The sequence below is a fragment of the Homo sapiens genome, chromosome 17 (assembly GCF_000001405.40).
Source record: "Homo sapiens chromosome 17, GRCh38.p14 Primary Assembly".
Lineage (NCBI taxonomy): Eukaryota > Metazoa > Chordata > Mammalia > Primates > Hominidae > Homo > Homo sapiens.
The window spans coordinates 57,947,995-57,963,884 of NC_000017.11; the positions used below are offsets into that span (position 1 = coordinate 57,947,995).

A 15,890-nucleotide genomic window follows, 5' to 3' on the forward strand; every position below is an offset into this window, starting at 1 on the left:
TTCTTTGTGGCTAGGCAGTATTATGAAAAAAAGCCTACTGTCAGCTTAAGCAAAACAGAATAAGAAGGGTTAAGTGCACTGGCCTAACAAGGGTATGGTCAAAGAGAAATTAAGTCTTGGATTATCTGTTATTTACTCATTCATCCAACAAAGTTTACTGAGGGCCTCATATATATGCCTAAAACTCTTCTAGGTGCATCTAGGAGATAACCCACTAGCTCCAACTGAGAGTGCCATTCTCAGAAACACTGTGTGTATGGGGGCTGATGCTTTCTGTATTCCAATACCAAGACAAATGCTCCACTACTTCCAGGTTTCCTGAGCTCTCCTCACACGGCTTGGACTCCATCCCCGAGAGCTGTAGGTCCCTCCCAGTGAGCACCCCCGGGTGATGCTGACCAGGAACATTGCGGGCCAGGGTCACCTGGCCCAGAGCTGTTGGGCAGACTCTGTTTGTGCCTTGGCTCACTCATTCATGGATGAGCTGCTCAGTGTTATCGGGCATTCTTCAATCACTCCAACAGTCAAAGGAGGGGTTAGGCCAAATTTAAGTAATCTTCTAGCTCAAAAATTCCAGCTCCTTTTATCCTCCGATCACCGAGCTGACATGGACCTCTAGGGGCCTCTACTTCATCTTCCTGTCTCCAGATGAAACCTCTTAAACCACAAAGACAAATGAAACTTGTTCCCATTTCTGAAGACCTTCAGGGGAGGCCATTCCCCTCTGTGCCTATGAGTCACTTTTCTTACATCTCACATCCTATCTGGAATGTCTTCCTCATACCTTACTTGAATCCTCCCTCTGTAGTTTAAATTCATTTGCCTCTGGTTCTAAGTGCAGAGAGACAAGAGTGAATCACTGTGTTCTGAGCAATGACTCTTAAGGGACTTTTATGTCTTCTTCACCATGTTCACTGCAGGCATTACAAGAGGTGGCAGTGTTTCTCAGCTGTTAAAAACCACAAAGGCATCAGGAAAGCTGACCACACTGCCCAGTTCCTGCCTCACCCTGGCAAGGGTGCTACAGAATCCAGAAAACCTGACCCTTCTCTGAAACCCACACCGCTACTTAGCTCTACTCAGAGTTCACCAAGGGGGAGAACAATGTGCTCCCATGCCAGATCAAAAGCCCAGGAGGCAGCAGCCACTTTATCTTGTCCTCACTCAGCTCAAGCGGCCCCTCCTCCAGGAAGCCTTCCCTGCCCCAACTCCTCTTCTGGCTGGCAAAGTGCCCCCTTCCTCAGTGCTTTGTCTTATCGCAGCACTTGCCACAGAAACTGAAATTCCAGGCTAACATGTTTGTCTCCCTTACTAGACAGGAGGCATCTTGAAGGCAGGGGCCATGGCTTGATGACCTTTGTGCTCCAGGATGGGCCCCAGCAGAGTATCTGGCACTTGGCCAGTGGTTCTCAGCAGACTCTGTTAAGCTGAACCCTCCAGGCATGTTCCAACGATGCCTGGACATTGCACTGGCAGCCCTTCAAGCAGGACACAAATCCCACAACCCCCCCAGCTCCACCCTCCCCCACCACGACCACCCCCGAGCTCAGTAGGGGTGTCTCTGACATACTTTTTTTTTTTTTTTTTTTTTTTTTTGAGGTAGGGTCTTGCTCTGACACCCAGGCTGGAGTGCAGTGGTGCAATTTCAGCTCACTGCAACCTCGGCCTCCCAGGCTCAAGCGATCCTCCCACCTACGCCTCCTGAGTAGCTGGGACTACAGATACATGCCACCACGCCTAGCTAATTTTTGTAGAGATGAGGTTTCACCATGTTGCCCAGGCTGGTTTAGAACTCTTGAGCTCAAGTGATCTGCCAACCTCAGTCTCTCAAAGTGCTAGGATTACAGGCATGAACTACCACACCCAGCCCTGACAGTTTCTCTAAGGGTGTGGGCCTGCAGCCAGACTTCCTGAATTCAAATCCTGGCTCTGCCACTTTCTAGCCATGTGATCTTGGGCAAGTTATTTAAACTCTTGATGTCTCTTATGTCTCTATTTCTTCACCTGAAAAATTGGTATAATATCTCATAGGTCCTGTGAAGATTCAACGAGCTAATCCATGTGAAGTACTTGGAAAGGGTCCGACCCCTCTGTGAGTGCTGCAATGATTATTTCCCAAGCCTATCCCTTCACAGAAACCCTTGGCCCCCACAGCTTCCACTCTTTTCGTTTTTGAGACAGAGTCTCACTCTGTCACCCAGGCTGGAGTGTAGTGGCGCGATCTCGGCTCACTGCAACTTCTGCCTCCTGGGTTCAAGCGATTCTCCTGCCTCAGCTTCCCAAGTAGCTGGGACTACAGGCGCCTGCCGCCAAACCTGGATAATTTTTTTGTACTTTAGTAGAGACGGGGGTTTCACCATGTTGCCCAGGTTGGTCTTCAACTCCTGAGCTCAGGCAATCTGCCTGCCTCAGCCTGCTAAAGTGCTAGGATTACAGATATGAGCCACCGTGTCCAGCCTCTTTTTTATTTTTTTATTTATTTATTTTTTTTTTTTTGAGACAGAGTCTCGCTCTGTCGCCCAGGCTGGAGTGTAACGCTGTGATCTCTGCTCACTGAAACCTCCGCCTCCTGGGTTCAAGCTATTCTCCTGCCTCAGCCTCCTGGGTAGCTGAGATTACAGGCGCCCACCACCATGCCCGGCTAATTTTTGTATTTTTAGTAGAGACAGGGTTTCACCACGTTGGCCAGGCTGGTCTCGAACTCCTGACCTCAGGTGATCCGCCCGCCTCGGCCTCCCAAAGTGCTGGGATTACAGGCGTGAGCCACTGCACCCTGTGAGCTTGCACTCTTGACTGCCTATTGGGCCTGCCCCGATCTCCTGACTAGGTTCCCTTCCTCCAGGGAACTCTGCCCTGTTCCTCTGGACCAATGTTAGTATTAACTTTATGCCATTCAACCCTTCTCACTGGTTATGCCTCCTCACCCCTCCCCCAGCTTACAGGGCAAATTCTCCAAAGAAAAGGAAAAAGAGTTGGTTCCACAGCAGGGCTACAGATGCTGAGTCATTCTGCCCCCAAATATGCTTAGCTGTCACCCATGACATTTCAGTCTCCCCACCCCCGCCTCCACTGTGCGGTCCTCTCTGCTCATCATTCAAGAGCCTCACCCCACCCCCTCCCACTCTTCCAAAATCCACCCTCAGCCTCTACAGTTTTTACCAAAGATTTTCCTTAATAATGAGCCTCAGAATTTGTGTACCGCTGTGCAGAAATGGCAATAATAATAATAGCTTCGATGTAATGAACACTTCCTCTTTGTCTGGCATACACATGAGATCTCTTTTAACTCTTTCTAAATATAGGAAACTCTGGCACTTACAAAGTCTTAGAGTAAGATGGAGAGCTGGGATTCTACCTGGAGATGCCTAACTTCAGATCTTACACTCTAAACAACTAAGCTATGATGAAAATGTGCACAAAATAACTCAGTTGCTTCCTGGGGGTGGAAGTTAAGCCAGTGGAGTTGGAACTTTTTTTTTTTTGAGACAGAGTCTCACTCTGTTGTCCAGGCTAGAGTCCAGTGGTGCAATCTCAGCTCACTGCAACCTCCGCCTCCCGAGTTCAAATGATTCTCCTGCCTCAGCCTCCCAAGTAGCTGGGGTTACAAGTACGCACCACCATGCCCGGCTAATTTTTTGTATTTTTAGTAGAGATAGGTTTCACCATGTTGGCCAGGCTGGTCTCGAACTCCTGACCTCAGGTGATCCACCCGCCTCAGCCTCCCAAAGTGCTGGGATTACAGGCAGGAGCCACCACGCCCAGCCTAAACATTTTTATCTTACCAAGAATTCCTCAAAGACCCTTGGTGCTGCCACAATGCAAATGAAATGGTCACATTTATAAGAAGGGAGTTTATATTTACAAGGACTGTTATCACATTTATCATTTATGACCTGCTTTAAAGATAAGACATTTAGCTGCATCATCAAGAGTCTGTGATAATGCGCTGACACATCAGAGGTTCTGGGAGCCTGGAAGCCAAGGGGATCAGAGAAACACTGAGTGAGCCAACACAGCTAGCATCCTGAACTCACCAACCCATGGTAGCCAGGGCCACAGCATGACTGAGAAGTCATGGCCACTGGGGAAGGTGAATCCTCAGTCACTGCAACAAGGACTTTGCATGCCACCAAGACACTTTCAATTCCCAAGTCAAGGACCACTGGACCACAGCGCTTTAGGGTCTCCAATGCCCTTCATTTTATTTTATTTTATTTTATTTTATTTATTTATTTATGTTTTTTTTTTGGAGACAAAGTTTTGCTCTTGTCATCCAGGTTGGAGTGCAATGGCACAACTTCGGCTCACTGCAACCTCCACCTCCCAGGTTCAAGCAATTCTCCTGCCTCAGTCTCCTGAGTAGCTGGGATTACAGGCACACGCCACCACACCCAGCAAATTTTTGTATTTTTAGTAGAGACGGGGTTTCACCATGTTGGCCAGACTAGTCTTAAACTCCTGACCTCAGGTGATCCACCCCCCTCGGCCTCCCAGAGTGGTGGGATTACAGGCATGAGCCACCGCATCCGGCCTCCAATGCCCTTTATAGCTCTTGCTTCCTGTAAGTGCAAGAGCCAGCAACACAGAAGCACCACCTCCTCCAGCTCACCTTGGATAGTCAGAGGTGACCCCTGTCAGACACCCAGCTTCCTGTGCCCCAAGGCTCTAGAATACTCCTGCCTCTGCTGCTTATTACCAGAGCAAATGTAGGAAGCTCTAAAGGAAGAATACCAGTGTGAGTGCTGCCATATGCCAAACACTGTGCTCTCTAGTTAAACAAAGAAAAATCCCCTACAGCTCTCTGTGGGGGACTTGAGCCTAAGGAAGTCTTCTCAGTCCCAAGGTAGAGAAGTCACAAATGGCAGATCGTCCTAAAGCTCTTCCAGATCCCTAGCAAGTGTAGATGCCACAAACACCTATGCAGCAGCCCAGGACCCAGTGAGCCAAGAAAGGAAAGGCAGGCCAGGCCTCCTCTGGCCTGGGGCTGCACTGGGGATAGTGACAGCAGCCCTCTGGCCCCCACTTGCCTTCAAGAGTCCAAAGGGATCTAAGGAACCGACAACACCCAGATCATAGCCTTGGACAATTCTGCCCCAAGACCTCCTTAAGAGTCGTCTTTCACACTTAACACTCTCTACTAAAGCACCTCAACCCCATTTCCCCAAGAACAAGCTGGAGCTCTTAAAGGCCTGGATCTCACACCCAGCTGAAACACCAGAATATCCACCTCCACCCAAATCCCTTTATTTACCTCTAATTCAATAGACCAGTGGGCCTAGTCCAGTGCCCAGGGCCTTCCCACCACACAGACAGCAAAATGAGCCCCTGGAAAAGGGCCACCTCATCTGCCCCCATCCTCTAGCTAGCTGTAGGGAGCTGGGATCTGTCCAGACACTCCAGGTCTCCATGGCCACAAGCCCAAAGTTGCATAGGGAGGTCATGAGAAAAGACCTTAGAAGCAGTCTGCTCTTTGAACCCTGGGATTATTCACTGACCAGCCAAAAAGGTGACAACTGTTCTGATGGCCCAGGTCAGACCAGTAACTCTAGGGCAGAGGTCTCAATGGAGGTCCTGGTTCCAAGGGGGTATATTAACCGTCTGGTGTTGAATACAGGTGTCTCCCTACACACATGCATTTTGGAAGGAGAGGAGTTAGAGCTTTCACCAGATTCTCAAAGGGGCCCATGACTCCAACCTCTGGCCCTAGTTGGCCTGGCCCAGGAGCTGGGGATACAGCCCTAGTCATATCAACATCCCTGGGCCATCCTCGCTGTCCAGGGTCTCTCTTCTATTCAAGGATGTGCCCAGGTCGGTAGCAGTATCCTGTTTCCCTTGTCCTGGCCCTTCCAGCTGCAGAAAGTGGACAGCGGGTTTCACACCCAGCCCTGCTGCACACGCTCCAGCTTCCTGGAGACCCGAGCCAGGTTTCTCCCAGCAGCACCTCTCCATCCCAGAGATGGCACCATATTCAAACTGAGGTACCAGTGGCACTGACCCCCAACAACAGAGAGGACCCAGCTTCACACTTGATCCAGCAGGGGCCCAACCACATGGTGAGATGACTTCCTCCGTGAGAGAATTCCTGGGGTCCCTCACCTCCTTCAGGCACAGCTGGCTATAAAGAAAAGGGGTGAAAGGCCCAGTACATCTCCCTGAGTCCTTTCTCCTGGGCCAGGTGGCTCAGGTGCTGCGGGATCACCCAGGGAAGGCTCATTCCTCTCGCTACAAGACGCTGACTGCGGATCAGGTGGGGAGCACGGTGGATGGTCTTCTTGTATCCTCTATCGCCTCCAGGGCATCTTGTTTCTAAACTCCCAGGGAGTCCCCTCATCTTCTACTCCACTACTCCACCAAAAAAAGGAAAATCTAAACCCTCCCTCCCCTTAAAACACATTCCGTCTCAGGAATTTAATTTCAGTGTACGTTTCTTAGAGCTAAAACTTTTTTTAAGGGGAAAAGAAATGGGCAGGGCAGTGCTGGGTGTAAGGCGACCACGCGACCGAGAAAAGGAAGAGGGAGGAATGAATAAACGCTGACACCAGCCCCCCTTGGAGCTCAGAGCCTGGGGCACAGGAGCCGGCGGGGCGGGCGAGCAGGGGCGGGGACAGCGCATTCCCAACTTTCCCTGGCCGAGCTGACGGGAGATACAGCTCCCAGGGGACCGGGAGGGACCAAAAAAGGCTGAGCCGACCTGTGACATCGGCGGGGGGCAGGAAGCGAAGCTCCCCTCCCCCTGAAAGGCGCTCGGCTCCCAGCAGGCGCCCCCGCCTGCCGTCGCCGCCCAGCCTGCGCCCCCAGGCCCGGGCACTGCGGGGAGGGGCGCCCACACAAAAGGGGGAGCGGCGGGAGAGGGGACTCGGGCGAAGCCGGCTCCGGGAGGCCTCGTCTCCCTTCCCTGCGGCGCTGGCCCGCGCCCCCCGGTCTAATCGCGCGCCCCGCTCCCGGCCCCCCAGATGCCCGCACGCCCCCCGCGCCCGGGGCCCGGGATGAGGTGGGGGCTCGGGAAGGAAGGGCGGGCGGGGACCTGCCGCACGCGGAGCTCCCGGGGAGCCGCGCCGACAGCCCCGGGAATCAAACTCGCGACGGCCCGGCCCTCCCGGCGGCGCCTGGGCAACGGGTCCCGAGAAGGTGGGGCCGCTGGGCCGGGGCCGCGGCCGGGATTGCGCGCGGGGCGCCGGCGAGGACCGCGCCCGGGGCCGGGCGGGAGCCGCGGGAGCGCGGGGGTCTTACCGGGCAGCGCCACGCGCGTCCGCTCCGCGCGGGCCGCAGGGGCCGGGCCGCGGGCCGGGCGGGGGAGGGGCTGCAATCCGCAGCGGTGGCGGCGGGGCCAGGCTCGGCGGCGGCGGCGCGGCTGGGGCGCGGGGAGGCGGAGAAAGTGAGGCGAGGCCGGCTTCCTAGCGGCGGGCGGCGAGAAATGCAGCTGTCCCTGCGCGGCTGCCGGCAGGGCCACAAGTGGGGCCGCGCGGGGAGGAGCGGGGCTGCGGGCGGGGCGGGGCGGGGGCCCGGCTGCGGCGCCCCCGGGCCCTTTCCCTATGGCCGACCCCTTTCCAGAGAGGAGGGAAGCGGACCTGGGGGTCCGGAAACCTACATGGTTGCCGGGGGTGGAGAGGGGAGCACCCAGTGAAGGCTGGAAAAATGCCCTCCGTGTACCTCCCTCCCCGGCCGCAGTGACTCCCTAGCTTGCGGGCAGGAGGGCGTGAGCGGGGTGCCTCGACCTCCCGCGCAGAGCGGGGTGCGGGGCATCCTGCCCCTCCCAGCTGCGGAGAGGGTGGGCGGAGGAGACCTGAGACCTCCGAGACTCCGCGGGGAGCTAAGAGCAGGGCTGCCCGACAGGTTCCAGGTCAGTGCCAGGAACCCAGGGTGAGGACGCACAGCTGGGGCTTGGGACACAGGTGTGGAGGAGGGGCACCTCCCTGGAATTAGGGCCCCGGAAAGGAAACCAAATCAAATGCTGAGGACACAGGAGATGGTGGGAAGGGGGAGCAAATCAAAGCTATCACTCGTCCACACCGACAGATACCACCTGCCATCTCCCATTTTCTCCTCCCCCAACCTCCCCAGCATCCCTGATCACTTCAAGGGCTGCTGAGCCCTGGGAAGATTTTCCACGGAAGAACTTGTTTAATAAATGGGAAACTGACCTTTGCTATACTTTTCCCACGTGCTTTCATTTCAGACTCCAATTTGGGAGTAGGTAGCCTAGGTCAGGTGGTGACCACCAAGCACCCTGCTACCTAGGGGATCTGAGGAGGGTGAAGAAGGCCAGATGCAAACTAAGCTCTGTCCCCAAACAACTTGCAAAGGGTCTGCACCCTCCTCCTGGAAAAGTCTGCCTTACAGACCCATTTGCCCATCTGGGCCCAGAACCCCAGGAATAGCCCCCCTCTCCCCTCCTCTGAGCGCTTGCAATTTGCTAGCCTTGCTGAGACAGATCGACACGCTCAGCCTCAGAGACAGCTGATGGTAAAAACCACAAACCAAAGTGCCCCAGACACCAATGTGTTTCCATCATTTGCATGTCAAGGGCAAGTTTCTTCAGCAAGGTGGGAAACTGGGAGGGGGAGAAACCTCAGAACCACACCCTCCTCGGGGAGGCCCAACGTTAGGTTAGCATGTTGAACGGAACTCCAGGACTGGGTTTCCAAACCCCTCTGAGGATCTCCTCTCTCCTGCTCCTCTCTCCCCACACTTCACTCCCTGGTGCATTCAATTTCCGGGGGAGGCAGGGTGCTTGAAATCCCAGAAGATGGTCTTCAGGCCCCAGGTTAAAGATTCTTAATCCGAAGGGACAGACCCATGCCTCTATACTGACTCCTGGCTCCTTTCCCAGGTTGTAACTGAGAGCTCAGGATTTGTCCGCCTGGCCAATATAGTCTAGATTATGTTATCAAGTGTATTACCTTACACTTACCCATAGTGCAGTTCATTTGTCACTTTCCTGCTTACTTGCAAGATCCCTCTGCAGTTCATTCCTGTCACCTTGGCATTTCAGGAGCAGAAAAATGCATCTGCAAACCTGGAGATTTCCATTTGCACTCGCCTATGGATTGCTCATAATTTTTTTTTTTTTGAGACGGAGTTTCGCTCTGTCACCCAGGCTGGAGTGCAGTGGCACGATCTCAACTCACTGCAACCTCCGCCTCCCAGGTTCAAGCAATTCTCCTGCCTACGCCTCCTGAGTAGCTGGGGTTACAGGTGGGTGCCACCACGCCCGGCTAGTAAAATTTTTAAATACATTATTATTATAGTCATTAATAAAACCAGTTGCTCTAATGGACACTCTTCCTTGAAGCACACTTTTCTTGGGCTTTGCTAACATACTCCTCCTTTTGGGTCTGTCCTTCTGGAAGCTTTTTCTCAGACCCCTTCCCTGCCTCTCACAACTTCCCCACCCCCAGACACCTCCACCCACTCCCACCACTGCCTCTGAGCCCCCAGGGCTCCAGCCCCTCACACCAGCCGCCTACAGAGGGCCACCTGTGAGTCTCCCAGACACCTAAAACTCAAGGAGGCTAAAGGCGACTGAGACCGCTTCCCTACCTAAGCCACCTCCTCCTACTCTCCTGAATCCACCTCTGGCTCAGAGGCTGGAAGCCTCTGTCTCCTGTGCAGCTTCCCTGGCCCTCCACTGGTTATCAGATCCTGTTCATTTCTCCTTCTCTCACCGCCTCACTCCTCCACTTCTGCCTGGTTCAGGCCCTATTGTCTCTGCTCTTCCAGAGATGTCCCTTTTGCTTTCCAGCCCAACCTCCTATGTGCTTCAGGAAACTCTGTTAGTTCTTCTTTCTCCTCCCCTCTGCTTCAAAACTACAAACACTTCAGGATACCCCCTTCTAAGGGAACCTGGCCCCAACCCTGCCCTGCCCTCAAGTCATTGCCCTGTTTCTCTCTTCTGCATTCATCAGTAGGCCTCCCCTAAGAAGCAACCAGACCCACTCTCTGCTTCTTCAAGCCCTATTCAATCCTCAACTTCCTACAATCTGACTTTCTTCCCCTTCATCCTAGGGGAAGGTGATTTTTACAGGGAGGCACCGGCATCTTTCTAGGGGAAGATGCCTTTCCAAGGGAGGCAACCTTAGGCTCCTCATTGTTTCAACCCATGGGCCTCCTCCCTATCCCATTCCTTCACTCCATTGGAGCCCTGGATGTTGCTAACGCCTCCTTGAAACCATTCCCACCCTCATGGCTTCCTAGCCTCTGCGTCTTTCTATCCATTCCCTCATTTCTTCAGCTCTGCCTGCCCCAGGGGTTTCTCCAAGGCTGAGTCCTCTAACTTTCTAACCAACCCCTCTTTCCAGATGTTCTCACAGGGGGAATAGAGTGGGGCAGGTACCAACCCCTCATGGCTCCACTTGCAGACTGCATATATATATATATATATATATATATATATATATATTTTTTTTTTTTTTTTTTTTTTTAAGACAGAGTCTCGCTCTTGTTGTACAGCTTGGAGTACAGTGGCGCGATCTCGGCTCACGGCAACCTCTGCCTCCCAGGTTCAAGCGATTCTTCCAACTCAGCCTCCCGAGTAGCTAGAACTACAGGTGCACGCCACCATGCCCAGCTAATTTTTTTATTTTTAGTAGAAATGAGGTTTTACCATGTTGGCCAGGCTGGTCTCAAACTCCCGACCTCCGCCCGCCATGGCCTACCAAAGTGCTGGAATTACAGGCATGAGCCACCGCACCCGGCTATTTTTTTTTTTTTTTTTTTTGGTTGTTGTCTGTTTGTTTTGTTTTGTTTTGTTTTTGAGACGTAGTTTCGCTCTTGTTGCCCAGGCTGGAGTGCAATGGCATGATCTTGGCTCACTGCAACCTCCACCTCCCAGATTCAAGCGATTCTCCTGCCTCAGCCTCCCGAGTAGCTGGGATTACAGGCATGCACCACCACGCCCAGCTAATTTTGTATTTTTCGTAGAGACGGGGTTTCTCCATGTTGGTCAGGCTGGTCTCAAACTCCCAACCTCAGGTGATCTGCCCACCTCAGCCTCCCAAAGTGCTGGGATTACAGGCGTGGACCACCGTGCCCAGCCAAGTTTTATTAATAACATTACCCCCTCTGCACCTAGTGGAGTGTGCTGATGACCTGTCCGAGCACCCCACTCCCTCTCTCAAGCCCCTGACTGGCATGTGTTACTGCCATTGGACAAGCTGTCCCACAGCCACTGCACCTTCAGTGCGGGGAGCCTGGAGCCCATCATCTCCACATCCTTTGCAAGAATTCTCTGTCCTGGATAAGCAGCACCTCCCATTCGCTCAAGCTGCAGATGTTACATGCTGCCTTCCTCCCCTCGTACATTCAACCCCCTCAGTAAACTCAGGGCTTTCTGCTTCTGAGTTTCTCTGGAACCTGCCCCCTCTCCTCTGCCCTGGCTCAGGCCCTGCTGCCAGGGCCCTGCCTTTCAATCCATCCTTTTCAGTGCCAGCAGTTACTTTTCTAATGTACAAACCGGTGATGTCTCTGCACTGCTGAACAAGGTGGATGACTTCCCATTGCTTGGAGAATGAAATTTAAACTCCTGAGAGAGGCCCTTCCCAGGCTGCCCTTAACTTCCATTCCAGCTCTTCCCATTTTCTGTCCTCATGCCACCCACCCACTCCCGGGCTAGAACCAGCCAAGAACAGGGCAGTCACCATGGCTCACATCTGTAGTCCCAGCACTTTGGGAGGCCGAGGCGGGTGAATCACTTGAGGCCAGGAGTTCGAGACCAGCCTGGCCAACATGGTAAAACCCTATTTCTACTAAAAATACAAAAATTAGCCAGGCGTGGTGGCAGGCGCCTGTGGTCCCAGCTACCTGGGAGGCTGAGGCAGGAAAATTGCTTGAACCTGGGAGGTGGAGGTTGCAGTGAGCCAAGATCGTGCTTGACTCCAGCCTGGGTGACAGAGCGAGACTCAATCTCAAACAAACAAACAAAACCAGCCAAGAACACTTGCTGTTTCCACAGACTGAATGTGAAGGTGATGGAAGCCTTTTGCTAAGTCTGTGGCTGTATGAAGCTCAGATCGCTGGAGCATATGGCATTATCTACTGTGAGAATGAGGCTGATGGAGAGCCACTGGGCTCAGGCTTGGAAATGGTGAGCTCTGATCGGACCGTGGGGAAAACAGGACATTTCCCTTCTGAAGGTCCCCCAGCCCAGGGCAAATGCCAGGGCATGAATGGTTGATAAGGAGAGCAGACAGTTGCGGCTCTGCGACCAACCACATTGTCCCTGCCACCGTGAGACCCACTCCTCCTCCTAGGACTACCAAAGACAGCTTAAGAAGGCTGGAGGTAGAAAAGCAAGTGGTGTAAACTTCCAAATAATTTGGATAATCCTGACCCTTTCTCCTCTGACCAATTTAATCAAGGAACTCAGAGGAAACTTGCCACCTCGAACTCCTGGGCTCAAGAGATTCTCATGTCTCAGTTTCCTGAGTAGCTGGGGCTACAAGCTTGTACCACCGCACCCAGCTATTTAAAGAAAAAAACTTTTTTGTAAAGGTGAGGTTTTGCCATCTTGCCCAGGCCGGTCTCGAGCTCCTGGGCTCAAGCCATCCTTTCGCCTCAGCCTCCCAAAGTGCTGGGATTACAGGCATGAGCCACTGCACCCAGCCCAGCCTAGGAAACTTTTAAGGAACTGGTAACATCACTTGGGGATTTGAAAGAACACACAGGTGAACCGTGGAAGCAGTCACAATAAATAAATAAATAAATAAGCAAACAACTCCCTTGTGAGATAATAGCTGGATGGATGCCTGTGGGCTTGCCGATTTGATGGCTATCTGAAAGGATTCCCGGGGACTTTCACCCCTTCCCCAGGGTGCCAGCACGAACATCATGTCTGTGAGCCCTTCTTCCCTTGCATAAGGGATTGCTCCCTTGCAGTCCCTGTGTCCATCCCACCAGCCTGTATAGAGAGAGAGTGCGTGCCATTATAGTTTGTCTCTTCATGAACTCCCGGGAGGTAAGGGGTGTTTTCCATCTATCTCAGTGTCTGCACCCCGCGAGATTGAGTAAATATTTGCCAAAGGCCTGAATTGTAACAAGTGAGTGAGACATGCCCTGTTTGCCTTTATAAAAACCACTATCTTCCCCTTGATTGGTAACAGTTTGTGAGGCTCCAGGGATCTTGCCCCCTTGTACAGAGGCTGCCAGCTTGTCCTCTACAAGGCCGTGGGGTGGAGATTTGACCTAGATAAATGGAATCCCCTGTAATAATTAAAATTGTTCTTAAAGAATAGTGAGGCCGGGTGCGGTGGCTCACGCCTGTAATCCCAGCACTTTGGGAGGCACGAGGTCAGTAGTTCAAGACCAGCCAACATGGTGAAACCCTGTCTCTACTAAAAACACAAAAATTAGCTAGGCGTGGTGATGCACACCTGTAGTCCTAGCTACTTGGGAGGCTGAGGCAGGAGAACTGCTTGAATCCAGGAGGCAGAGGTTTCAGTGAGCCGAGATCGCGCCACTGCACTCCAGCCTGGGTGACAGAGCGAGACTCTGTCTCCAAAAAAGAAGAAAGAAAAAAGAAAGGAACAGTTAGTGAATGTAAAAAATGTTCATGATACAATGTTGGGGGAAAGGAATGCTACAAAACAAAATGCAATGACCCCATTTATTCTTATATGGTAAAAATAAAATATTTTTTTGTAAAAATAAAAATATAAACATAAAAGAAAAAACTTGAAGAAAATATATCAAAATGTTAGCATCATTAGATGAGGGTTTAAAGATAACTTTTATTTTGTTATTAGTATTTTTCTGGATTTTCTGAATTTCCTACATTATACATACATTGCTTTATTATCGATTATGTATATATGTCTATATTTAGCCTTCAAAATCATTATAATTGGAAGGAGGAAAGTTAAACATAAATGACTTTCCTCCATGATTATTCTTAACTTAAGCTATTTCTTTTTTTTTTTTTTTTTTTAGATGGAGTCTCACTCTGTCACCCAGGCTGCAGTGCAGTGGCACAATCTTGGCTCACTGCAACCTCTGCCTCCTGTTGCCCAGGCTGGCCTCAAATTCCTGGGCTCAAGTGATCCCCCCGCCTCAGCCTCCCAAGTAGCTGGGACTACAGGTGTGCACCAGCATCGCCTTGACTTGTTCCTCATCACTCTAATACTCAATGAATGATGCCTGTTTTTCTTATTGTCGTTCTTGCAATTCCAAGAAGGGATACCTGAGATCAATTTGGCCTAGATTCTCAGATCTGGTTCTTCCCAGAAATGAAGCTCCCTAGAGGAGGTTGTGGGGTGGAGCAGGATGAATATTCCTGTGTGGGACTTGGGGAGCAGGTGCTGCAGGTGGAGGAGCCGCATGGCCCTGGTGTCCTGGGGAAGGATCCTCCCTTCTTGGAGGGAGGGAACCTCTGCTGGGCCAGCAAATGGTCAGGGAAGGAGGAGAGAGGAAGCTGGCACTAAATCATTGACCCCTGAACAGGCTTCTGGGCACTAGCTGAAATGTCAAAAATGTTTTACTCTTTGGAGGAAGAGCCTCACTCGGGTTGCACAGCATAGTAGTGGGTGGAGGACCCTATAGAGGGCTGACTGATGTCTTCAGAGTAGCTTGCTTCTTAAAAAGAGAAAAGAGAAACCTCCTCCTGGAAGCAGGGCTGAGCCTCTGGGGCAAGTGGACCCTGAAGCTATGGCAGGACTGAGTTCCTAGGAGCCAGACCCTCAGCCTCAGGCCTCACACTCCAGTCTATAGAGCCTGCTCCCTTTAGGGTAGGGAAGGTAAAGCCCAGGGCTCAGTTCGGCTCCATTCTACAGTCAGGAAAGTGTCACATTATCGTGGCAGGTTGAGAAGCACAGCAGGAGATGGTAGCATAGAGGGGCACATCTCCCACTGAGGCACAAGAAGGCTGAACTGAGATTTAAGGGAGCCGGAGGAGGTAGTCACCCATTTCTTTATGAATTCATGGATTACTATCTTCCTTCGATTGTGTATAATTTGTTATTATCATCTATTTTGGCTTAGATTGTTTCGGACTTGGCCATGTGCCAACTCCTGGAATTCTGCGGCTGCATCCTCATCTTCTTTGAGCACTTCCTTACTTTCTTGTGCAAAGAGACATTTCAACCATCTTGGTAAAGATTTAATTAGATCATCAATGAATGCTAAATCTAAGATGAAATTTTGTTGAAGAGTAGGATATATAGATGGTCTTCAAATGTCTCCCCACAGACTACTTATTAGTTGCAAGGGCAGGGGAAAGTAATTATGTGATAGAGAAAATGGGTAACACCTTGCCCAGTGATCAAAGTTAACATCATGTATGAAGGACAGAGGGACATTGTGCGTCTCCGGGTGTGATATCCTGAGGACACGTGGCCTATGCAGTATTCCCGCTGAAAATGTAGAACTTCATCTCTCTCTCTCCTTTTTTTTTTTTTTTTTTTTTTTTTTTTTGAGACATTCTCACTCTGTCGCCAGGCTGGAGTACAGTGGCACGATCTCAGCTTACTGCAACATCTGCCTCCTAGGTTCAAGTGATTCCCCTGCCTCAGCCTCCTGAGTAGCTGGGACTACAGGCACATGCCACCACACCCAGCTAATTTGTGTAGTTTTAGTAGAGACGGGGTTTCACCATGTTGGCCAGGATAGTCTCGATCTCTTGACCTTTTGATCGGCCCACCTCGGCCTCCCAAAGTGCTGGGATTATAGGCGTGAGCCACCATGCCTGGCCAGAACTTCATCTTAATCATGAGGAAAAGCCAGACAAATACAAAATGGAGAATGTTCCATTAAAAAAAAAATAAGGCGGGGTCTGTATTTTTTTTAATGCCAGTTATGTACATGTTCCAGATTTATGGAGGCTAGAGAGACATGACAACTCAAGACTGAGCAGTCTAGAAGGATTTGAACTTCTCTTCCTCATCCTACTGGGTAGGTGGTAG

At 51.6% G+C, this 15,890-nt stretch overlaps 1 protein-coding gene across 4 annotated transcripts in view, besides 3 other annotated features; it reads right to left on the reverse strand.

Annotated features, from left to right (window-relative positions):
- Positions 1 to 7,418, reverse strand: part of CUEDC1 (CUE domain containing 1) — a 94,170-nt gene extending 86,752 nt beyond the window's left edge. For all 4 annotated transcript variants that reach the window (XR_934459.4, XR_934460.4, NM_001271875.2 and 1 more), the window contains exon 1: positions 7,231 to 7,418. The gene's annotated coding sequence lies outside the window, so the exon portion shown is untranslated. The remainder of the gene's footprint in view (positions 1 to 7,230) is intronic.
- Positions 754 to 1,048: a silencer, noted in NCBI's record as "tiled region #6256; K562 Repressive non-DNase unmatched - State 8:EnhW". NCBI's record gives its function as "represses a minimal TATA promoter and a strong SV40 promoter by Sharpr-MPRA in K562 cells {active_cell/tissue: K562}" and the evidence as "EXISTENCE:reporter gene assay evidence [ECO:0000049][PMID:27701403]".
- Positions 4,483 to 4,984: an enhancer, noted in NCBI's record as "NANOG hESC enhancer chr17:56029838-56030339 (GRCh37/hg19 assembly coordinates)". NCBI's record gives its function as "activates a minimal SCP1, AML or CMV promoter by ChIP-STARR-seq in naive H9 embryonic stem cells {active_cell/tissue: H9 hESC(naive)}" and the evidence as "EXISTENCE:reporter gene assay evidence [ECO:0000049][PMID:30033119]".
- Positions 7,273 to 7,342: a silencer, noted in NCBI's record as "silent region_8753". NCBI's record gives its function as "represses an Ori minimal core promoter by ATAC-STARR-seq in GM12878 lymphoblastoid cells {active_cell/tissue: GM12878}" and the evidence as "EXISTENCE:reporter gene assay evidence [ECO:0000049][PMID:35858748]".